Source organism: Homo sapiens, chromosome 18, assembly GCF_000001405.40.
Source record: "Homo sapiens chromosome 18, GRCh38.p14 Primary Assembly".
In the NCBI taxonomy this organism is placed as follows: Eukaryota; Metazoa; Chordata; class Mammalia; order Primates; family Hominidae; genus Homo; species Homo sapiens.
Genome location: NC_000018.10, coordinates 63344806 through 63363487, shown reverse-complemented (window position 1 = coordinate 63363487; position 18682 = coordinate 63344806). Strand labels below are relative to the sequence as shown.

The 18682-nt window shown below is 42.1% G+C and overlaps 1 protein-coding gene across 1 annotated transcript in view; it reads left to right on the top strand.

Annotated features, from left to right (window-relative positions):
* Positions 1-18682, top strand: part of KDSR (3-ketodihydrosphingosine reductase) — a 39481-nt gene that overhangs the window by 3719 nt on the left and 17080 nt on the right. Inside the window, exons 2-6 of the mRNA NM_002035.4 lie at positions 620-709; positions 3696-3752; positions 7925-7990; positions 8189-8284; positions 12409-12600. Coding sequence (NP_002026.1) covers positions 620-709; positions 3696-3752; positions 7925-7990; positions 8189-8284; positions 12409-12600 — 501 coding nt within the window. The remainder of the gene's footprint in view (positions 1-619; positions 710-3695; positions 3753-7924; positions 7991-8188; positions 8285-12408; positions 12601-18682) is intronic.

The window sequence follows — 18682 nt, the reverse complement described above, 5'->3', positions numbered from 1 at the left end:
AGAACAAAAAACCAAACACCGCATATTCTCACTCATAGGTGGGAATTGAACAATGAGATCACATGGACACAGGAAGGGGAATATCACACTCTGGGGACTGTGGTGGGGTCGGGGGAGGGGGGAGGGATAGCATTGGGAGATATACCTAATGCTAGATGACACATTAGTGGGTGCAGTGCACCAGCATGGCACATGTATACATATGTAACTAACCTGCACAATGTGCACATGTACCCTAAAACTTAGAGTATAATAAAAAAAAAAAAAAGAAAAAAAAAAAGAAAATAAGATTCATTTGGATTTGGAATCAGAGGCAGACTAATGTATTATTTATGAGCTAGACTTATAGGGCACTTTTCCACCAGTGAACTCAGAAAAATATTATAGGTGTGCAATTTATGGTTCCATAAGAAAACAGTCAAAGCAGCAGGCCTTGCTGATAGTATCTTTCATGCTTACACTTACTCCAGTCATTAAGTTTGGGATGAAGAAGTTAACAACAGCTAATCATTTAGTTCTTGTAGATTCATTTTAAGAGCCTGTCATAGTTGTTTTTTATAAAAACTTCCTACAGAGGGGAGATTTCAAGTGCTAAGAATATTTTATGATTTTGTTTTAGGTTACAGGAGGTTCCAGTGGCATCGGGAAGTGCATTGCTATCGAGTGCTATAAACAAGGAGCTTTTATAACTCTGGTTGCACGAAATGAGGTAAGGCTTCTAGGTTCATTATTACTGACTTGCTTCTTCGACTTGAAATTAGTCAAAGAGGCTGTGCTAAACATCTTAGCATTCACACCTAGAAAGCGCTTCTTCCTTGATGTGAGATGTGTTTCCTGAACTACTGATTCTCTCTAGTATTTAGGCCAAACACTTCTCTGTTGAAATCAGGTCGGCCCCACAAGTATTTATTTAGTACCATTGGCATATTAGGCAACATCATCATAGATACTGCAGATCCTGAGATGGGAGAGGCCAAGGTCTAGTTGAAGGAGCACACCTGGCCATTGGAAGCCAGGGAGGGCCCTTGGCCAGGTCAGAAGTGCTGGAAGCAGTGATTCTGGAGCTGATACCTGAAGGTGTGTAGGTGTTTCTCTATAATTTTTCACTACGATTTGCTTAGGACATGATATATATCTCTAGTGAAATCTATACACCATAGAGGAACCTCGTCCCTCCTTAGAAGTTTAGCAAAATGTGTTTTTCTGTATTAAGTCAACACAGAATCTGTTTTTATTTTTTGTCAGGGTTTGTTTTTGTCTTGCCAAAGTTGTTTTTAGAGCACAAAGCAGTGACACTGTGCACGTGAACTGTCATGACGTCCTCTTGCTCCCCATATGGGGACTGGAGGAAAGTGACCACACAGCTGGCTCGTCCGCTGCAGCAATTCTAGTGCTTGACACGTAGTACATGCTCAGACATGTTTGTTGAATGAAGAAATGAAGGGAGGAATGATGGAGTGCCTGGGAATGTCAGCATGGCATACTTCCATGGGGATCTTGGATTCACCCATGTGCAAGGAGGGTGATAGTATGGTAACTCCTCAAATGGGTGGAGGGCTGGACAGGACCCATTAGGAATGGTAGGCCAGGAAGGGCCTTGGGGGAAAATTTAAATAATGTCGCAGACTTAGTCTTGGACCTCTATAATTTCTTTTATTTTTTTCTTTTTTCTTGAGACAGCATCTCACTCTGTTGCCCAGGCTGGAGTGCAGTGGCATGATCTCGGCTCACTGCAACCTCTGCCTCCTGGGTTCAAGTGATTCTCCTGCCTTAGCTTCCTGAGTAGCTGGGACTACAGGCGCCCACCACCACGCCTGGCTAATTTTTGTATTTTTAGTAGAGACAGGGTTTCACCATGTTGGTCAGGCTGGTCTGGAACTCCTGACCTTGTGATCCGCCCGCCTTGGCCTCCCAAAGTGCTGGGATTACAGGTGTGAGCCACCACACCTGGCCTGGACGTCTATAACTTCTTTTGCAAACCAAGAAAGACAAAATTAGCTACCTTTTATTTATAGCTTGACTTTTCTAACAATGAATTTGCTTTGGCATTGAAGCCACCTTACATAAATGAAAACACAAATTTGATGAAATGGCATTTTGTGAGTTTTAAACACCAGTTTTGATGCAAGTAAATAAAAGTGGAGGCAGAGAAGGCCAGCATTTCAGGCCCCCAGGAGCTCATATGGGGCCCTTGCATTGCTAGAAATGAATGAACTGAATGAAGAACCTGTGGTGTTGAGTAATTCATTCTTTTTTTTTTTTTTTTTTTTTTTTTTTTGAGACGGAGTTTTGCTCTGTAACCCAGGCTGGTGTGCAGTGGCGCTGTCTTGGCTCACTGCAACCTCCACCTCCGGAATACCTGGGATTACAGGTGTGTGTAACCACACCTGGCTGATTTGTGTGTGTGTGTGTGTGTATATATATTTACATATATATAAAATATATATTTTTATTATATATATTATATATTTTATATATATATATATTTTTTTTTTAGTAGAGACAGGGTTTTACTATGTTGGCCAGGCTGGTCTCAAACTCCTGACCTTAAGTGATCCACCCACCTCGGCCTCCCAAAGTGCTGGGCTTACAGGCGTGAGCCACTGCGCCCGGCCTCACTGTGTCACCCAGGCTGGAGTGCAGTGACACAATCTCGGCTCACTGCAACCTCCGCCTCCCAGGCTCAACCAATCCTCTCACTTCAGCCTCTTGAGTATCTGGGACCACAGGTGCTCGCCACCATGCTTGGCTAAGTTTTTGTATTTTTGGTAGAGACGGGGCTTCACCATGTTGCCCAGGCTGGTCTCAAACTCCTGAGCTTGGGTGATCCACTCACCTTGGCCTCCCAAAGTGCTGGGATTACAGGGGTGAGCCACCATGCCTGGCTGAGAAATTCTTTCTTTTCTAATGTAATTTTTAATTCCAGTCTTTGCAAAGTCAAGCTGTATGTATCTTTAGTCATAGGACAATATTATTTCATTATAGACATATTCAGGTTTAGAAACTCTGCATGCCTTTTGGAAGAATTCGCCTCTCCTTTGGTTCCTCTCTATTGCATGATATTATTTAAGTTACTTTTTACAGCAAATTAAGATAATCTGATATCTGTTTTCTTGAGACTAAGTAAAACAAACAAAATTAGGACCTTGGAAGAATTACATAATTACACAGGTAACCTTGCTTAAGAGTATTTTATAGTAGCCAGGCCTAGTTTACCCAGTCTATCCAGAAAGTGATTCTTACTATGTTTGGGTTTATAGTAGAAGAAGAAAATATTGGACAAAAAGCAGTATTGACAGGGAGTCACACATACCCTCAACTTTGGGGAGCAGTACATATTAATAGAGTTGTTCTTGTCTTATATCACAACTAAATAATAAGACATTTATTAGAACTGTAGAGTCAGCCTCAGCAATTAGTACTGTTAACTGGGATTTTGAGGTTTATCTGTTTTCTACTATCTTTCTCTAATTAATTTTCAAACTTTTATCACTTATTCATAGCTTAACATACTTCACAACTTCTTTCTTTCATAGGCTGTGGCCCAGTCTGTCTATGCAATGTAGATACTGTTTTGTGTGTTTTCTGGAATTTAATACATACATATAGAAATAATTGCTTTTTTTCTCTCCTTTGCAATAAACGGACATGCATATAGACGGTCATCACGACTAATTATTCTGTATTGCTTTCAGGATAAGCTGCTGCAGGCAAAGAAAGAAATTGAAATGCACTCTATTAATGACAAACAGGTAAATCTCTGTCTTCAGAATGCATTTTCTGTATAACTCAGCACAGCTGTATAAAGGAAAAACAGAGTTACTTCACCTGTGAATAGTTAATTGAAAGCATATATGTACTGTTTTTTAAAAGGTGGAATTGTTTGAATGGTCTAGTAACTCAGAATATCACACACACGCAAAATGAATAGACTCCCACACACATTCATATCTACAAATGGTCAAATAACAGAATGTTTTACTGGCAAATAATTTCATTTTAATTTTTTTTTTAATGAACTTTATACAAATGCTTAAGAGGAAAGGAATATTTAAAATTTATTTGGTTATGGAATTTTTGATGAATAAAATGCTATTTATATTTCAGTATAAAACATAATAGCAAATTAATAATCACACACCCATCACCCAGCCTAAGAAGTAGAAATGATCAGGGTCTCTGAAGCCCCCACAGCAGCCTTGTCCCTCTTTTCTTGTTCCTAGAGGGGCAAATGCCAACCCGATTTTTGGTGTTAATCCTTTCTTTTTCTTTTCTTTTTTCTTTCCTTTTTTTTTTTTTTTTTTTTTTTGAGGCAGTGTCTCAATCTGTCATCCAGGCTGGAGTGCAGGGGTGCGATCTCAGCTCACTGCAGCCTCGACCTCCTGGGCTCAAGCAGTCCTCCCACCTCAGCCTCCCTAGTAGCTGAGATTATAGACACGTGCCATCATGCATGGCTAATTTTTGTATTTTTGGTAGAGATGGGGTTTCGCCATGTTGCCCAGGCTGGTCTTCAACTCCTGGGCTCAAGCAGTCCGCCTACCTCTGCCTCCCAAAGTGCTGGTATTATAGGAGTGAGCCACTGTGCCCTGCCTCTTTTTCTTTTTAATTTTACCATATATGCACATAACTCTAAATAATAATATATTGTTTAGTTCTTTTTTTTTTTTTTTTTTGAGACAGAGTCTCTCTCTGTCACCCAGGCTGGAGTGCAGTGGTGCCATCTTGGCTCACTGCAACCTCCACCTCTCGGGTTCAAGCGATTCTCCTGCCTCAGCCTCCTGAGTAGCTGGGATTACAGGTGTGTGCCACCACACCCGGCTAATTTTTTTTGTATTTTTAGTAGAGACAGGGTTTTACCATGTTTGTCAGGCTAGTCTCAAACTCCTGACCTCAGGTGATCTGCCTGCCTTGGCCTCCCAAAGTCCTGTGATTATGGGCGTGAGCCACCATGCCTGGCCAATATACTTAGTTCTACTTCTTTTATTATATCATTCTTATTTTTTAACAGCTTTATGAGATATAATTTATATACCATACAGTTGACCCATTTAAAATATATAATTCAATGATTTTTAATGTATTCATAGAGTTGTGCAACTGTCATCAAAATCAATTTTAGAATGTTTTCCTCACCCCGTGAAGAATCTCCATGTGTATTAGCAGTCACTTGCCATTTCCTCCCAGCCTCTTCTCAGCTAGGCAGTCACTCATCTACTTTCTTTCTCTATAGATTTGTATAACTTCCTTCTTTATGCTTCTTATGCAACTTGATTTCTTCACTCAATATTATTATTATTTATTTCTTATTTATTTATTTATTTTTGAGATGGAGTCTCGCTCTGTTGCCCAGTCTGGAGTGCAGTGGCACAATCTCAGCTCACTGCAACCTCTGCCTCCTGGGTTCAAGCCTCAGCTTCCTGGGTAGTTGGGATTACAGGCGCGCGTCACTACGCCCAGCTAATTTTTGTATTTTTAGTAGAGACAGGGTTTCACCATGTTGATCAGGCTGGTCTCGAACTCCCAACCTCGTGATCCGCCCGCCTCAGCCTCTGAAAGTGCTGGGATTACAGGTGTGAGCCACCATTCCCAGACCACTCAATATTATTCTTTAGGCCAGGTGCGGTGGCTCATGCCTGTAATCCCAACATTTTGAGAGGCCGAGACGGGCAAATCAGTTGAAGGTAGGTGTTTGAGATCAGCCTGGACAAAGTGGTGAAACCCTGTCTCTACTAAAAATATAAAAAGTTAGCTGCACCTGTAACCCCAGCTACTCAGGAGGGAGGCTGAGGCAGGAGAATCACTTGGATCTGGGAGGCAAAGCTTGAGGTGAGCAGAGATTGCACCGCTGTACTCCAGCCTGGGTAACAGAGGGAGACTCCATCTCAAAAAAAAATATATATATATATATATATATATGTATGTATGTATGTATGTATATATATGTGTATATATATATATAATTTTAAAAATTCATTTATGTTGCTGCAAAAAGTTGGAGTAAATTTTTTTTTTTTTACTGCTGCGTAGTATTCTATTGTATGTATAGACTACATTTTGTTCATCAGTTCAGCAATTGGTGGATATTTAGTTTGTTCCCAGTATTTTTGTTAGTTTGTTTTGTTTTTTACTATTAGAAAAGCTTTCAGTATTCTCTTTGTGCACGTGTGCAAGAATGGTACATACCCAGAAATGGAATTGCAGAGCTGTAGTGTATGCAGTTCTTCAACCTCACCAAAGTGGTTAAGCTCCCATAAGTAGGAATGCGGTTTCTGTTGCGCCACATCCCTGCCAATACTTGGTATTGACAGACTTTTTACTTTTTGCCTTTCTGATGAGTTTTGAATAGTATTTCACTGTGGTATTCATTGACTTTTTCCCTTCTAGAATGTTAGAGATCTTTCCATGTGCATTAAGTAAATTTGCCTTAAATTGCTGCAGCCTAGGATTGAAGTACACCAGAGCTTATTCCGTCAGGTCCCTGCTATTGAGCTGTTTCCATTCTTTTTATTTTATTTTGTATTTTTATTTTTGCAATTGCAGTCTGTGCTGCAAGTAAAAATCCTTGTGTATATCTTCTGCACATGTGAGTTTTTCTCTAAGACTGTGGTCTTTACCCCCTTCTCTGAAGCCCACAAGCATTGGAAAAACACCAGCTCTGTAAATTGCCCCGTTTTTTCCCGTATTCCTGTAATATCTGATAGACGAAGGAGTATGGTGTGAAGTCATGGAGTCAGTGTTCAGGGCCAAGGCCAGTCTTGCCTGCTGCCAACACTGTCTCCGCTCTGGGCTTCCTCATCATGACACCTTCTACCTCTTCATCTACCAAAGGACTTTAGGTCAGGTGGAAAACTTACCTTTCACATCAAGGAAGGGAGATAGGGCTGGGGCAGGCGAGAATGAGCTTGATCCTTCTGCCCTGCCAGGCTTCTAGGGACCTTTTGTGTGTGTGTGTGACTTGTTAACATTTTTTTGTTCTGAGATTTCACTTGTCTGTGGCATAGATTTTATTATTAGTAACTGATCTAATACTGCATGAAAAGGCTTGTTTTAAAATTAATCATATGATTACTACTGCCTTTTTTTTTTTTTGAGACGGAGTCTCACTCTGTTGCCCACGCTGGTGTGCAATGGCATGATCTCAGCTGACTGCAGCCTCTATCTCCCAGGGTCAAGCAATTCTCCTGCCTCAGTCTCCTGAGTAGCTGGGATTATAAGTGCCCACCACCACGCCAGGCTAATTTTTTGTATTTTTAGTAGAGACAGGGTTTCACCATGTAGGCCAGGCTGGTCTCAAACTCCTGACCTCAAATGATCTACCTGCCTCGGCCTCCCAAAGTGCTGGGATTATAGGCGTGAGCCACCGCGCCTGGCCGATTACTACTACCTTTAAAACAATGTTTTCTATCTGAGGATGTTGGGATAAAATCCACTCTAGGTATACATTACAACCAAGGGCAACCCCTCTAGACTAGAATGCTGCAGGTTATATTTGCAAAGAGGGCTGTTTCCTTTTCTTAGGAATTTTGATCATTTGGACAGGATTCCTTCTTGAAAGGAATCAGCACTGAGGCCCTTATATGGAATATTTCCATCACTCCCTAGGGTTGGCCTGTGCCCTTTCACAGTTCCTTCCATCCTCCATGCCTGGCTGTGGGCAACCCCTGATCTGCCTTCTGTCACTATAGATTAGTGGCATTTCAAGAGGAGCATTTATATATTTTTAAAAAGATTCCTCAGAGTTTTAACTCCAAAAGCTGCCAAGAAAATTAGATTCTGCTAATTGCATCATCAGCAAACACTGAAATCTGTTCATTCAATATTGGCTTCCTTCTGTATTCAATGAACTGTCTTTTCTTTAAAAAATATCTTTAAGAAATAGTTTGGTACCTGCAAAACTTTGATCACTTTTTTTCTTTTTTAACAGGTGGTGCTTTGCATATCAGTTGATGTATCTCAAGACTATAACCAAGTAGAGAATGTCATAAAACAAGTAAGAGGTTGGGCTAATTGGAATTCACCAATGTGCTTGACTTTTGATTTGTTCTTGCCATTTTGCTATGTGGCTTGGAATGGACACAACTTCTCTATAGGTTTAATAGTTTTGTAAATTTTATTTATCAGCATGGATTTGCTGCTGAGTGGTTTTTCTTCTCTGTTTCTTAATGCCTGCTCTGCTACATTTTTCTAGGCACAGGAGAAACTGGGTCCAGTGGACATGCTGGTAAATTGTGCAGGAATGGCAGTGTCAGGAAAATTTGAAGATCTTGAAGTTAGTACCTTTGAAGTAAGTAAAAATGTTTGCTCACTGCAGTAGCACATATGCTAAAAGCAGAGCAAGCTACGGGTAAAAGCTTTAAGAATCAATTAGATGAATGCATTCAGATGTCCATGGAAGCTTTAGAAGACTCTAGAGGAAGGCTGAACAAGGTGAAGCTGAACAAGGTTTTCATCCCAGTGTCAGGACCATTGAAGCTTAAGAGTTTAGACATTTTACAGCTGAGAAAACCAGCTAAAATGGGAATGGACCTTCTAATCTGACACAGATTACTGTAGCAGTTCACTGAGGTCATATTTTCAAGAGAACACTTTGTAACCTAAGAGATGCCGGATGTTCCTATCAAACATCAGTATTATTAACAAGGAGAAACCAAAAAAGTTGAAGGACAGACTCACTAGAGTTCTCAAATCAAGATAAAAAGATACTGCATCTTATTGATGTTTCTATTTTTAATCAGGTTTACCAAGGAACTTCTCTTGGTAATTTATTTCAGCACCAAAGAAATGAACACTAGATTTGAAATTTTTATTTTTTCTTTTTTTGAGATGGAATTTCACTCTGTCACTCAGGCTGGAGTGCAGTGGCGTGATCTCAGCTCACTGCAACCTCCACCTCTCAAGTTCAAGTGATTCTCCTGCTTCAGCCTCCCTAGTAGCTGGGATTACAGGCACATGTCACCACACCCAGCTAATTTTTTTTATTTTAGTAGAGATGGGTTTACGCCACGTTGGCCCGGCTGGTCTCAAACTCCTGACCTCAGGTGACTGGCCCACCTCTACCTCCCAAAGTGCTGGGAGTACAGGCATGAGCCACCAGGCCCGGCCTGAAATGTTTTTAAAATGGAAAACGTTTTTTAGTTGCCATCGCATCAACAATCTTTTTCTTCCTTTTTTTTGAGACAGAGTCTTGCTCTGTCGCTGAGGCTGGAGTACAGTGGCACGATCTCGGCTCACTGCAACCTCTGCCTCCCGGGCTCAAGCGGAGTGTCCTCCAGCCTCCTGTGAGGATGAAGCTGGGGAGTGTGTTGGTGTCTTCGTGTGCGCCGTCTAGACAGACTTTCCCTTAAACCTCTCTCTTTATCTAGACTTACTATCCCTAGAAACAGAACCTCCAGTCTCCTGCCAGGCTGGAAGAGGGGTACAGATCTACCCTGTGGAGAGGGGAAAAACATCTAAGATCTAACTGCCTTTTTTTTTCATTGTCCTACATTATTTTTTTAATTTGAAGTGAAATTCATATAACATAAAATTAACTGTTTTTAAAGTGAGCCATGCAGAGGGATTCAGCATATTCACAATGAGGTGCACCCACCCCCTCCGCCTAGTTCTAAAGCATATGCATCACCCATAGGGCGGCCCTCACCTGGTAAGCAGTTGCTCCCCATCCCTGCTCACCCCCACACCCAATCTCTGACAACCACCAATCTGTATTCTGTCTCTGGTCATTTCGTATGATTGGAATCATGATATGTGCACTTCTGTGTCTGACCTCTTTCTCTTAGCATCAGTTTTTGAGGCTCATCCACATGTAGCATATATGGGTGCCTCATTCCTTTTTATAGGGTGGTGATATTCCTTTGTATGGATCGACCACATTCTGTTTAGCTATTCATCATCGATGGCCATTTGGGCTGTGTCTAGCTGACTGCTTATTAAATAGACTCTTAGTCCCTACTCCTGTCTCAGCCCCATGCCAGCCCACCCTTCCCTCCACCCCAGAGACTCTTGCAGCTGGAGCCTTTTGGGGTTCTGTAGTAGAATCTGGCTTTTTAGTTTCTCCACTCCCCGCTTAGCATTTAGTTTTTTGTGGTCTGCTAAGTTAGTTATCCCTCCTCAACCTGTTCTTCAGCTTCCAAAAGGTTATTGCTGTTATTTTTATTCTTATTTTCTTTGTTCTTGTGTGTTCTTGCCTTAAAAAACATCTCTTTACGGAGATTTTAGTAAGGTTTCTAAAGGGAGCCAAAGTAAACACAGGCGTTCAGTGTGACGTCTTTTTTCAGATATTCTTTTAGAACTTTCTTTTTTTTTTGGAGACGGAGTCTTACTCTGTCACCCAGGCTGGAGTGCAGTGGCTCAATCTCGGGTCACTGCAGCCTCCACTTCCCAGGCTCAAGCAATTCTCCTGCCTCAGCCTCCCGAGTAGCTGGGATTACAGTTGCCCACCACTATGCCTGGCTAATTTTTTTTTTTTTTTTTTTGTATTTTTAGTAGAGTCGGGTTTTCACCATGTTGGTCACGCTGGTCTCGAACTCCTGACCTCAGGTAATCCACCTACCTTGGCCTCCCAAAGTGCTGGGATTACAGGCATGAGCCACCGTGCCCGGCTTAGAACATTTTTTATTATCAAAACAATATTATGTTACGAAAACACACTTTTGGAAAAAAAAGAGAATCCCAGCATCCTAACTCAGTCACTTATGATCTTCTGTATTTCCTTGGTCTTCCCTCTGAGCATGTGTACTTTTACTTAACCTTTGAAGTAATTACAGTTACAGCATATATACAGTCTAGCTTCTGCTTTTTAAACTTAAATAGCATAGATATTTTTCCCTGTCACTCCCAGTGTTTCTGGTCATCATTTAAAACAATTATCTAGGCCAAGTACAGTGGCTCACACCTGTAATCCCAACACTTTGGGAGGCCGAGGCAGGCAGATCACTTGAGGTCAGGAGTTCGAGACCAGCCTGCCCAACATGGCGAAACCCTATCTCTACTAAAAATACAAAAAATTAGCTAGGCATGGTGGCTGGCGCCTGTAATCCCAGCTACTTGGGAGGCTGAGGCAGGAGAATCGCTTGAACCCAGGAGGCAGAGGTTACAGTGAGCCAAGATCACACCACTGTACTCCAGCCTGGGTGACAAGAGCAAAACTCCATTTCAAACAAATACAAACAAACAACAATAAAAAAATCTAATATTCTCTTGAATTAAGATATTATGATTGTATGTTCATGTTCTGTTCATAATATGAAAAAAAATTATGATTGATCTCAAGTTCCACAATTGAGGTATTTAGTTTTTATTTACATGATGATCTAATATTTTTACAAATATTTGAATATTTGAAACATTTTAATGCAAGTATTATTAAATTTTCGAGTTAAAATTTAAGGTTTTTAAGAGCTCAGGCTAGGCGCAGTGGCTCATGCCTGTAATCCCATCACTTTGGGAGGTCAAGGCAGGAGTACTGCTGGAGCCCAGGAGTTCAAGACCAGCCTAGGCAAAATAAAAGGACCCTGTTACTACAAAAAATACAAAAATTAGCTGGACGTGGTGGCATGTGCCTGTAGTCCCAGGTCCTCAAGAGGCTGAGGCAGGAGGATTGCTTGAGCCCAGGAGATTGAGACTGCAGTAAGCCAAGGTTGCACCATTGCACTTCAGCCTGGGTGACAGAGTGAGACCCCGTCTCTAAAAAAAATGATAATAGTAAAAAAGCAAAAAATAAATAAATAAAAATTAAAAGCTTCCAAGACAAGGAGAAAATACACTATTAGTACTCTTACCCATCATAATGGGAGAGCCAGTGGTTCTTGAGGTCCAGGACTGTGCTAGCGCTTGTGTTTTCTCTTTTAATCTTTGCAACAGCCCTATGCGGTCATACCCTTGTTGACCTTGTTTACAGCCAAGAAAATAAGTAGAATGTCTGACTTTCTTATTCATCATCAAATAGGCAATAAATGGGAGACCCAAGGCTTGAAACCAAAACTTTAAATCACCCTCCTACTCTGTGTTTTTCTTATAGCTTAGAACTAATAGGGCTACAAATACTTGGAACCTCTTTCCTAAAACTGTCTTTCAGAAAGTACTACCCACAAACATGCAGTATACTTTTTATAAGGAGAAAACTAACTTTGACCAGTTTTCAGGAAAAACATTAACTGCTGTCATGGTCAGAATGCAAGACTAGACTGAAACAGTCTTCAAATGGTAGGTCCTGAGTCTTCAAATGCTAGGTCTCAAATCACATTTCATTTATATCATCATGTCATCATTCATTCATTCAGCAAGCCTGTTGGGCTTCCCAGTCACTTGAGCTTGCATTGAAGAACTGAAATCCAGAAAGCAGACTAAATTCTCCATGTGCACAGCCTTGAGGCTTTTGACCTCATGTGGCCTCTTTGTTCCCTGCAGAGGTTAATGAGCATCAATTACCTGGGCAGCGTGTACCCCAGCCGGGCCGTGATCACCACCATGAAGGAGCGCCGGGTGGGCAGGATCGTGTTTGTGTCCTCCCAGGCAGGACAGTTGGGATTATTCGGTTTCACAGCCTACTCTGCATCCAAGTTTGCCATAAGGGGATTGGCAGAAGCTTTGCAGATGGAGGTAAAAGTTGTATTCATTTTTGTATTTATTCCTCTCCGCTCAGCAATATACATTCCGCTTTAGTTTTATAGCTTCTTTACATGTGTTGTTGTATTAAATTAGAGATTTTTAGGTTTGACATTGGTGAAAGAGAATTGGCTCAACCCTGAGTTTTGCAGTTAACATTTTTCATTGCATGAAGACTATAGTTAACGACAGATGCAAAATGGTAATGGGATTTTTGCTTGTTTAACTTAATACACAAAATATTAGTGATATCTTCATAGTGTTATTAGTCTAATACTGTGTGAATGTGAGTAAGGTTAACCAGATATTTTATTTTATAGAGATTTTTCTTTAACAAGAAGTTTGTCCTTATGACTGAATAATACGTGAAATTAGTATATGTTTGAGGGAAGAGCTTGAATCAGCTGCTAATTTTTAGCTTTTAGACAAGTCATTTAACTTGCTCTCAGTTTCCTCATCTGTAAAATGGGAGGGTTGGAATAAAGCAATAATTTGACTCTCCCAATATTTATATTTTTATATCTTAAAGAATTGTTGGGAAAATGAATGCTTTTTATTTACATAGTTAATGGAACATTTTGTGGAAGAAGGATGTAGTTAGGATTTGCATCAAAATAGCGTCTGTCATGATGAGTGCAACTTTACACCTCAGCTGCTTGAAGCCGACTTCCACATTATTGTCACACAGGAATGCTTAGAGAGCATCACATACGTATCTACCCAAAAATCACATGCTGAAAAAGGCAAGGGAAAGTTCTTTCTATTGCTGTGTACAGTCATCCCCTCTTATCCGCAAGGGATGTGAGCTAAGACCCCCAGTGGATGCCTAAAATGTTAAGAGCCCAGAAGAGTATTCACTGTGGCCAACCCTCTTATAGTAAGAGTGTGCTTTTGGGAATCCTGGTTGATGATTTAGATCAGGGGTTGACAGAACTTTCACCAAAGGGCAGACAGTATATATGTTAGGTTTTAAAGGCTGAATGGTGCCTAATACAGCTACTTAAGTAGGCTATGATAGCAGGAAAGCAGCCTTACTAGACAATGTGTAAATGAACAATTGTCACTGTGTTCCAATAAAACTTTACTTATAAAAAACAGGCAGAGGGCCAGATCTGGCTCATAGGCCATAATTTGCTGACCCCTGTTTAGAAGACCCCATAAGAGACCTTGATGGTGTGTGATAGAGCACCACATTGGTGAGATATGGGACGAGCGTTGCAGTACAGATGAGCTGCTGGGACAGCGACAGTCCTGATGTGCCGCGTAGGGACTGATAGATCATGCCATTCTCATACCATAGGAACCAGCCACAGATTTTATTGTTATCAACTGGCCTAATACTCTTAATAATATATCGTGATAATATGCTTAGCCAATAGGACACTGATGTCTGTGAAATTTCAAACAAGAATACTGGTGTTTCTTTTGAAGTTTTTAACTTTGAAAAGTCCTTTTGTGAATAACTGTTTTATTTATTTTTATTTTATTATTTTTTTTTAGAGACAGCGTCTCTCTTTGTTGCCCAGGCTGGAGCGCAGTGGCACAATCATAGCTCACTGCAGCCCTGAGCTCCTTGGCTCAAGTGATCCTCCTGTCTCAGCCTCCCAAGTAGCTAAGACCACAAGTGCACACTACCATGCCTGGCTAATTTTTAAAATTTTTTGTAGAGAAGGGGTCTCACTGTGTTGCCAAAGCTGGTCTCAAACGCCTAAGCTCAAACAATCTTCTGGCTTTAGCCTCCCAAAGTGCTGGGATTACAGGTGTGAGCCAGCACACCCAGCCACCATTTTATAAAGTTTTGTAAAGTATGTGAGGGAGATGTTGTGATGCCACCTGATGAGAGGAAAACCCAGTTTTCAGTAAATTCAGTGTGTTGCTCAAAGTCACATAGTTACTTAGTGACAGAAATCACAACACGATCCAAGCCTTGACCCCAGGTCTGCTGCCCTTTTGCAGCAGATGATGCATCCAGCTAGTTGCTTCACCTGGCTAGTTGCCCCGGCCCTTTACTTTGGTTTTAGAATCCTTGTAGGTGAAGGGGTGGTTGCGGGATGAAGAATCTGCCCATTAGGGCTTTTTGCAGAGCTGTGTCAGCATTCACTAATTTAGAGCAAAGTATATAATCTGGGTGGCCTGGTTTCACTTCAAGTAGAACAGAGATGCTAAAAAAGAGGAAAAAGAAAGTGGATTGCTGGTACAGACAGAGCCCCCCAACCTCTGTGACAAGTGTGATTTGCATACTGCGAGTAGCCGGCCTGCACGCTCAAGTCTGTATGACTTCTGTCCTTATTTGGACTCTATTAAAAATACCCTCACTTAAAAAAAAGAAAATAAAATGAACTTATCCCATGAAAAATAGGTTCTGGGGAAAACGAACGCAGTCATCAAAATGTAGTTTGTTCGTAGTAGAACTTGCATCAAACCAATTATTGTGTCCCTACAGTAATTATAGTAGCATTTTTTTTGAAACCTGGATAATTTGGTCAAGGTAGGTGTGTTTTCTGTCAATGAAATCTTATGTAATTGCTCAAACTCCAGATACTTTTTTTTTTTTTTTTAATTTTTATTTTCTGAAGACAGAGTCTTGCTTTGTTGCCGAGGCTGGAGTGCAGTGGTTTGATCTTGGCTCACTGTAGCCTCCACTTCCTGGGCCCAAGCAGTCCTCCCACCTCAGCCTCCCAAGTAGCTGGGACTACAAGTGTGTACTACCATGCCTCACCGTTTTTTTGTTTATTTTTTATTTATTTATTTTTTGTAGACATGGGGTCTCGCTCGCTATGTTGCCTGGGCTGGTCTTGATCTCCTGGACTCAGGTGATCCACCTGCCTTGGCCTCCCAAAGTTCTGGGATTACAGGAGGTGTGAGCCACTGTGTCTGGCCTGTAAATATTTTTGACAATTCTTTGGTTTAATTAACTTTGAAGTCTCCCTGTCCACCTCCCTTTGCCCCCAAACTAAGGTAGGACCCTGGCATTGTTAAGGGTACTATGAGTAATTTTAAAAGAATGCTTTGTTGGCATTTTTTAGTCTTTTTTTTTTACTCAGTCTTTTAGGAAGAAAGGTAAAGATTTTAAAAGTTACTCTTTTGGAAAGCAGACTTCTGAGGTGGGTTATAGCTAAAGATGTGGTAGCAGAGACCAAGCCCAAAAAAAACAAACTGATGCTCCCTTTTCTGCTTTTCTTACCCTGATCATGCCCCTCTCCTCCCATCTCTTCCTTCTGTGGTCTGAAAGTAAGCTAAAGCTTGAATTCTGGAGTTTCATGTAAACAGCTGTGATCTTCTTTCCAGCATCCCCTGTCTTTGTTTTGATGGAATAGGGAACAGCACATCCTATGTGGATTATTTTAATAACAAATCTGTTCTTTTTTTTTTTTTTTTTTTTTTTTGAGATGGAGTCTCACTCTGTGGCCCAGGCTGGAGTGCAGTTGTGTGATCTCGGTTCACTGAAACCTCTGCCTCCCTGGTTCAAGCGATTCTCCTGGCTCAGCCTCCCAAGTGGGTGGGATTACAGGTGCCCACCACCATGCCCGGCTAATTTTTGTATTTTTAGTAGAGATGGGGTTTCACCATGTTGGCCAGGCTGGTCTTGAACTCAGGTGATCTGCCTGCCTCGGCCTCCCAAAGTGCTGGGATTACATATGTGAGCCACTGCACCCGGCCCACAAATCGGTTCTTGAACAAGTGGTCAGTTGTCTTTCTGTTTGAGGTTGAGGCCAGGGAGAAGGGAAGAAGTAATAGTAGGATGGATGTGGGGCAGAGTCGGGGGCACAGAGAATGGTCAGGCAACAGGGATGAGGAGAAGCAGTGGCCGGGCAGCAGGGGACTCAGTTAGTGAGGACCTGGCTCATCCATTCTTAGAAAGAGTGGTGATCTCAGGGAGCTAGCATTGTCTCATAAGAACAAGTAAAGCCAGCCTACCCTCATTTTTTTTTATGACAGGGTTATGAGATTGGTAGATTAAAAGAAGATGTAGATGTGGTTTAGTATATTCAGATTTTAGCAAATTATTTGACCAAGAGTTTCAGGAAACTAGAATCTTAACCTTATGCTTTGTTCTTAGAACGATACTGGCATGTAGAAGTAATTCAGTAAGTGCTCGTTGTTGCATGAATAAATAAAATAATATGTAAATGGTGAGGTGACTAGCCACTGGAGGTATCCAGCCAGAGACTGGGAGAGTCATTTGGTTGGATGGCATAGCGAGAATACCAATCTAGGAAGCGACTGGACTGGTTTCTCCCAACCCCAGCTATCTGTGTTCCTTCCTCATGAGGAAGCTGTTCTGAAAAGCTCTGTTTTAACCTTTGGCAATGCAGCCGTAACCTTGAGTTTGAGAAGCACTGCTCTGAAATCCTGTCTTCCATTAGCTTTGGAGCCAGCATCCTTCTTTACCATGAGAGAGAAGGCAGAGGGGCAGCACAGACGTGAGTTTCTGGGCAGTCGATGTCAGTCTTTATGTGGGCTGCCTAATGACCACTCGTTGGATTTTTTGTGGTGTTTTTCTCTGGTCTATGCACAGCAGAGGGCAAGGCTGGGGGAGACAAGGTTTTTATAAGTCACTATCTCAAAAACAAGTGGAAGCGAGTTTCTGGCTCATCTGCCTTACTACCTGGCCCCGATCCAGAGCTATTTATGAGCATGGCTGGGCCGTGAAGCTGCATGCCCTGGCAATGCCCGGTGGATGGGCTGTCCCACACCCTAATTGTGCTGGAATGGAACCCACAAAGACATCTCACTTTCACGACTGCACTTTCCAGGATGGCTGGCCTGGATCTTCTGCTTGCAGGCCTGTGCGTGCTTCTCCTTCCCCTTGAAGCTCCCCTTAAAGCCCTCAAAACTGTGCTTCACTGAAGGAACCAGGGCGAAAAAGGGCTGCATAAGATGAGACTCTGGGCTACTGTTTTTATTTTTTTGTTGTTTTTTTGTTGTTTTTTTTTTTGGGATGGAGTCTCCCTCTTGTCACCCAGGCTGGAGTACAGTGGCACGATCTCAACTCACTGCAACTTCCGCCTCCTGGGCTCAAGCAATTCTCCTGCCTCAGCCTCCCAAGTAGTTGGGATTATAGGCACCCGCCACCACACCCAGCTAATTTTTGCATGTTTACTAAAGACAGGGTTTCACCATGTTAGCCAGACTGGTCTCGAACTCCTGACCTCAGGTGATCCACCCCCTCCCCTCGGCCTCCCAAAATGTTGGGATTACAGGTGTGAGCCACTGCCCCCGGCCCCTGGGCTACTCTTAAAGGCCGTCACATTAGGCAGTGGTGTTGATTTTTAGCCTAGGGTACCCTTCTGAAGATGTGCAGTGGCTGATCTATCAGCTGCCTCTCCACTTCCAGATCCCTTAGGTGTTTCCTAGGGACAAAAAAGTGAGCCAATACCAAATAAAAATCATGGCAAAGAGATTTTCATGGTAGGAACCATTGCTCTTAGAGTTGCTAATTAGCAGGGCAAGATAAGCATGTGCAGCAGGGCTGTGGCTGAGCAGTCTGTGGGAGGGGGTGTCCTGGCCAACAGCAGAAGAATCTGCTGGAATTGTTGGGGGTGTGTGTATGAGTGGGGTCGTGAAGCGTGAAGTGTGCAGGCATGGTGGTGAGGCACACAAGTGTAACAACCTGCTCCAAGTGTCAGATTTAGAGGAGCCACATAGAGTTTCAGATAAGGCAGAGGGCTTTCCCTATGTGAATGCAGGTTGAGGTTGTCCACAGGGGAGGTACTTGGCTGGTCTGACTTGGAGGTTCTACCCAGTGGTTCTTGTTGGTTCAGTGGAGGAGGAAGTGACTCTTGACCTCCTAATGTGCAGAGGCCGGTTATACAGGGAGCTCTGGAATAAGCAGACTTCTCAGGGACAGTTCTGGACTGGGTTTGGAGTAGGGCACAAGAAAGGGATAGGGCAGCAGATTTTAATGACCCCAATGTATTTTGTGGATGAAATCAACACAAGAGTATCAGAAGCAGTCTGAAGGAAAAACAGATGTACAGTCTGGTGAAGAAAGGAGGGGCAGACTGGTCCCATTGCCTTGATAAAGGGCTTGGATGCTGTGCAGTGCGTGTGGGAACTGGACTCTTTTTAAAAC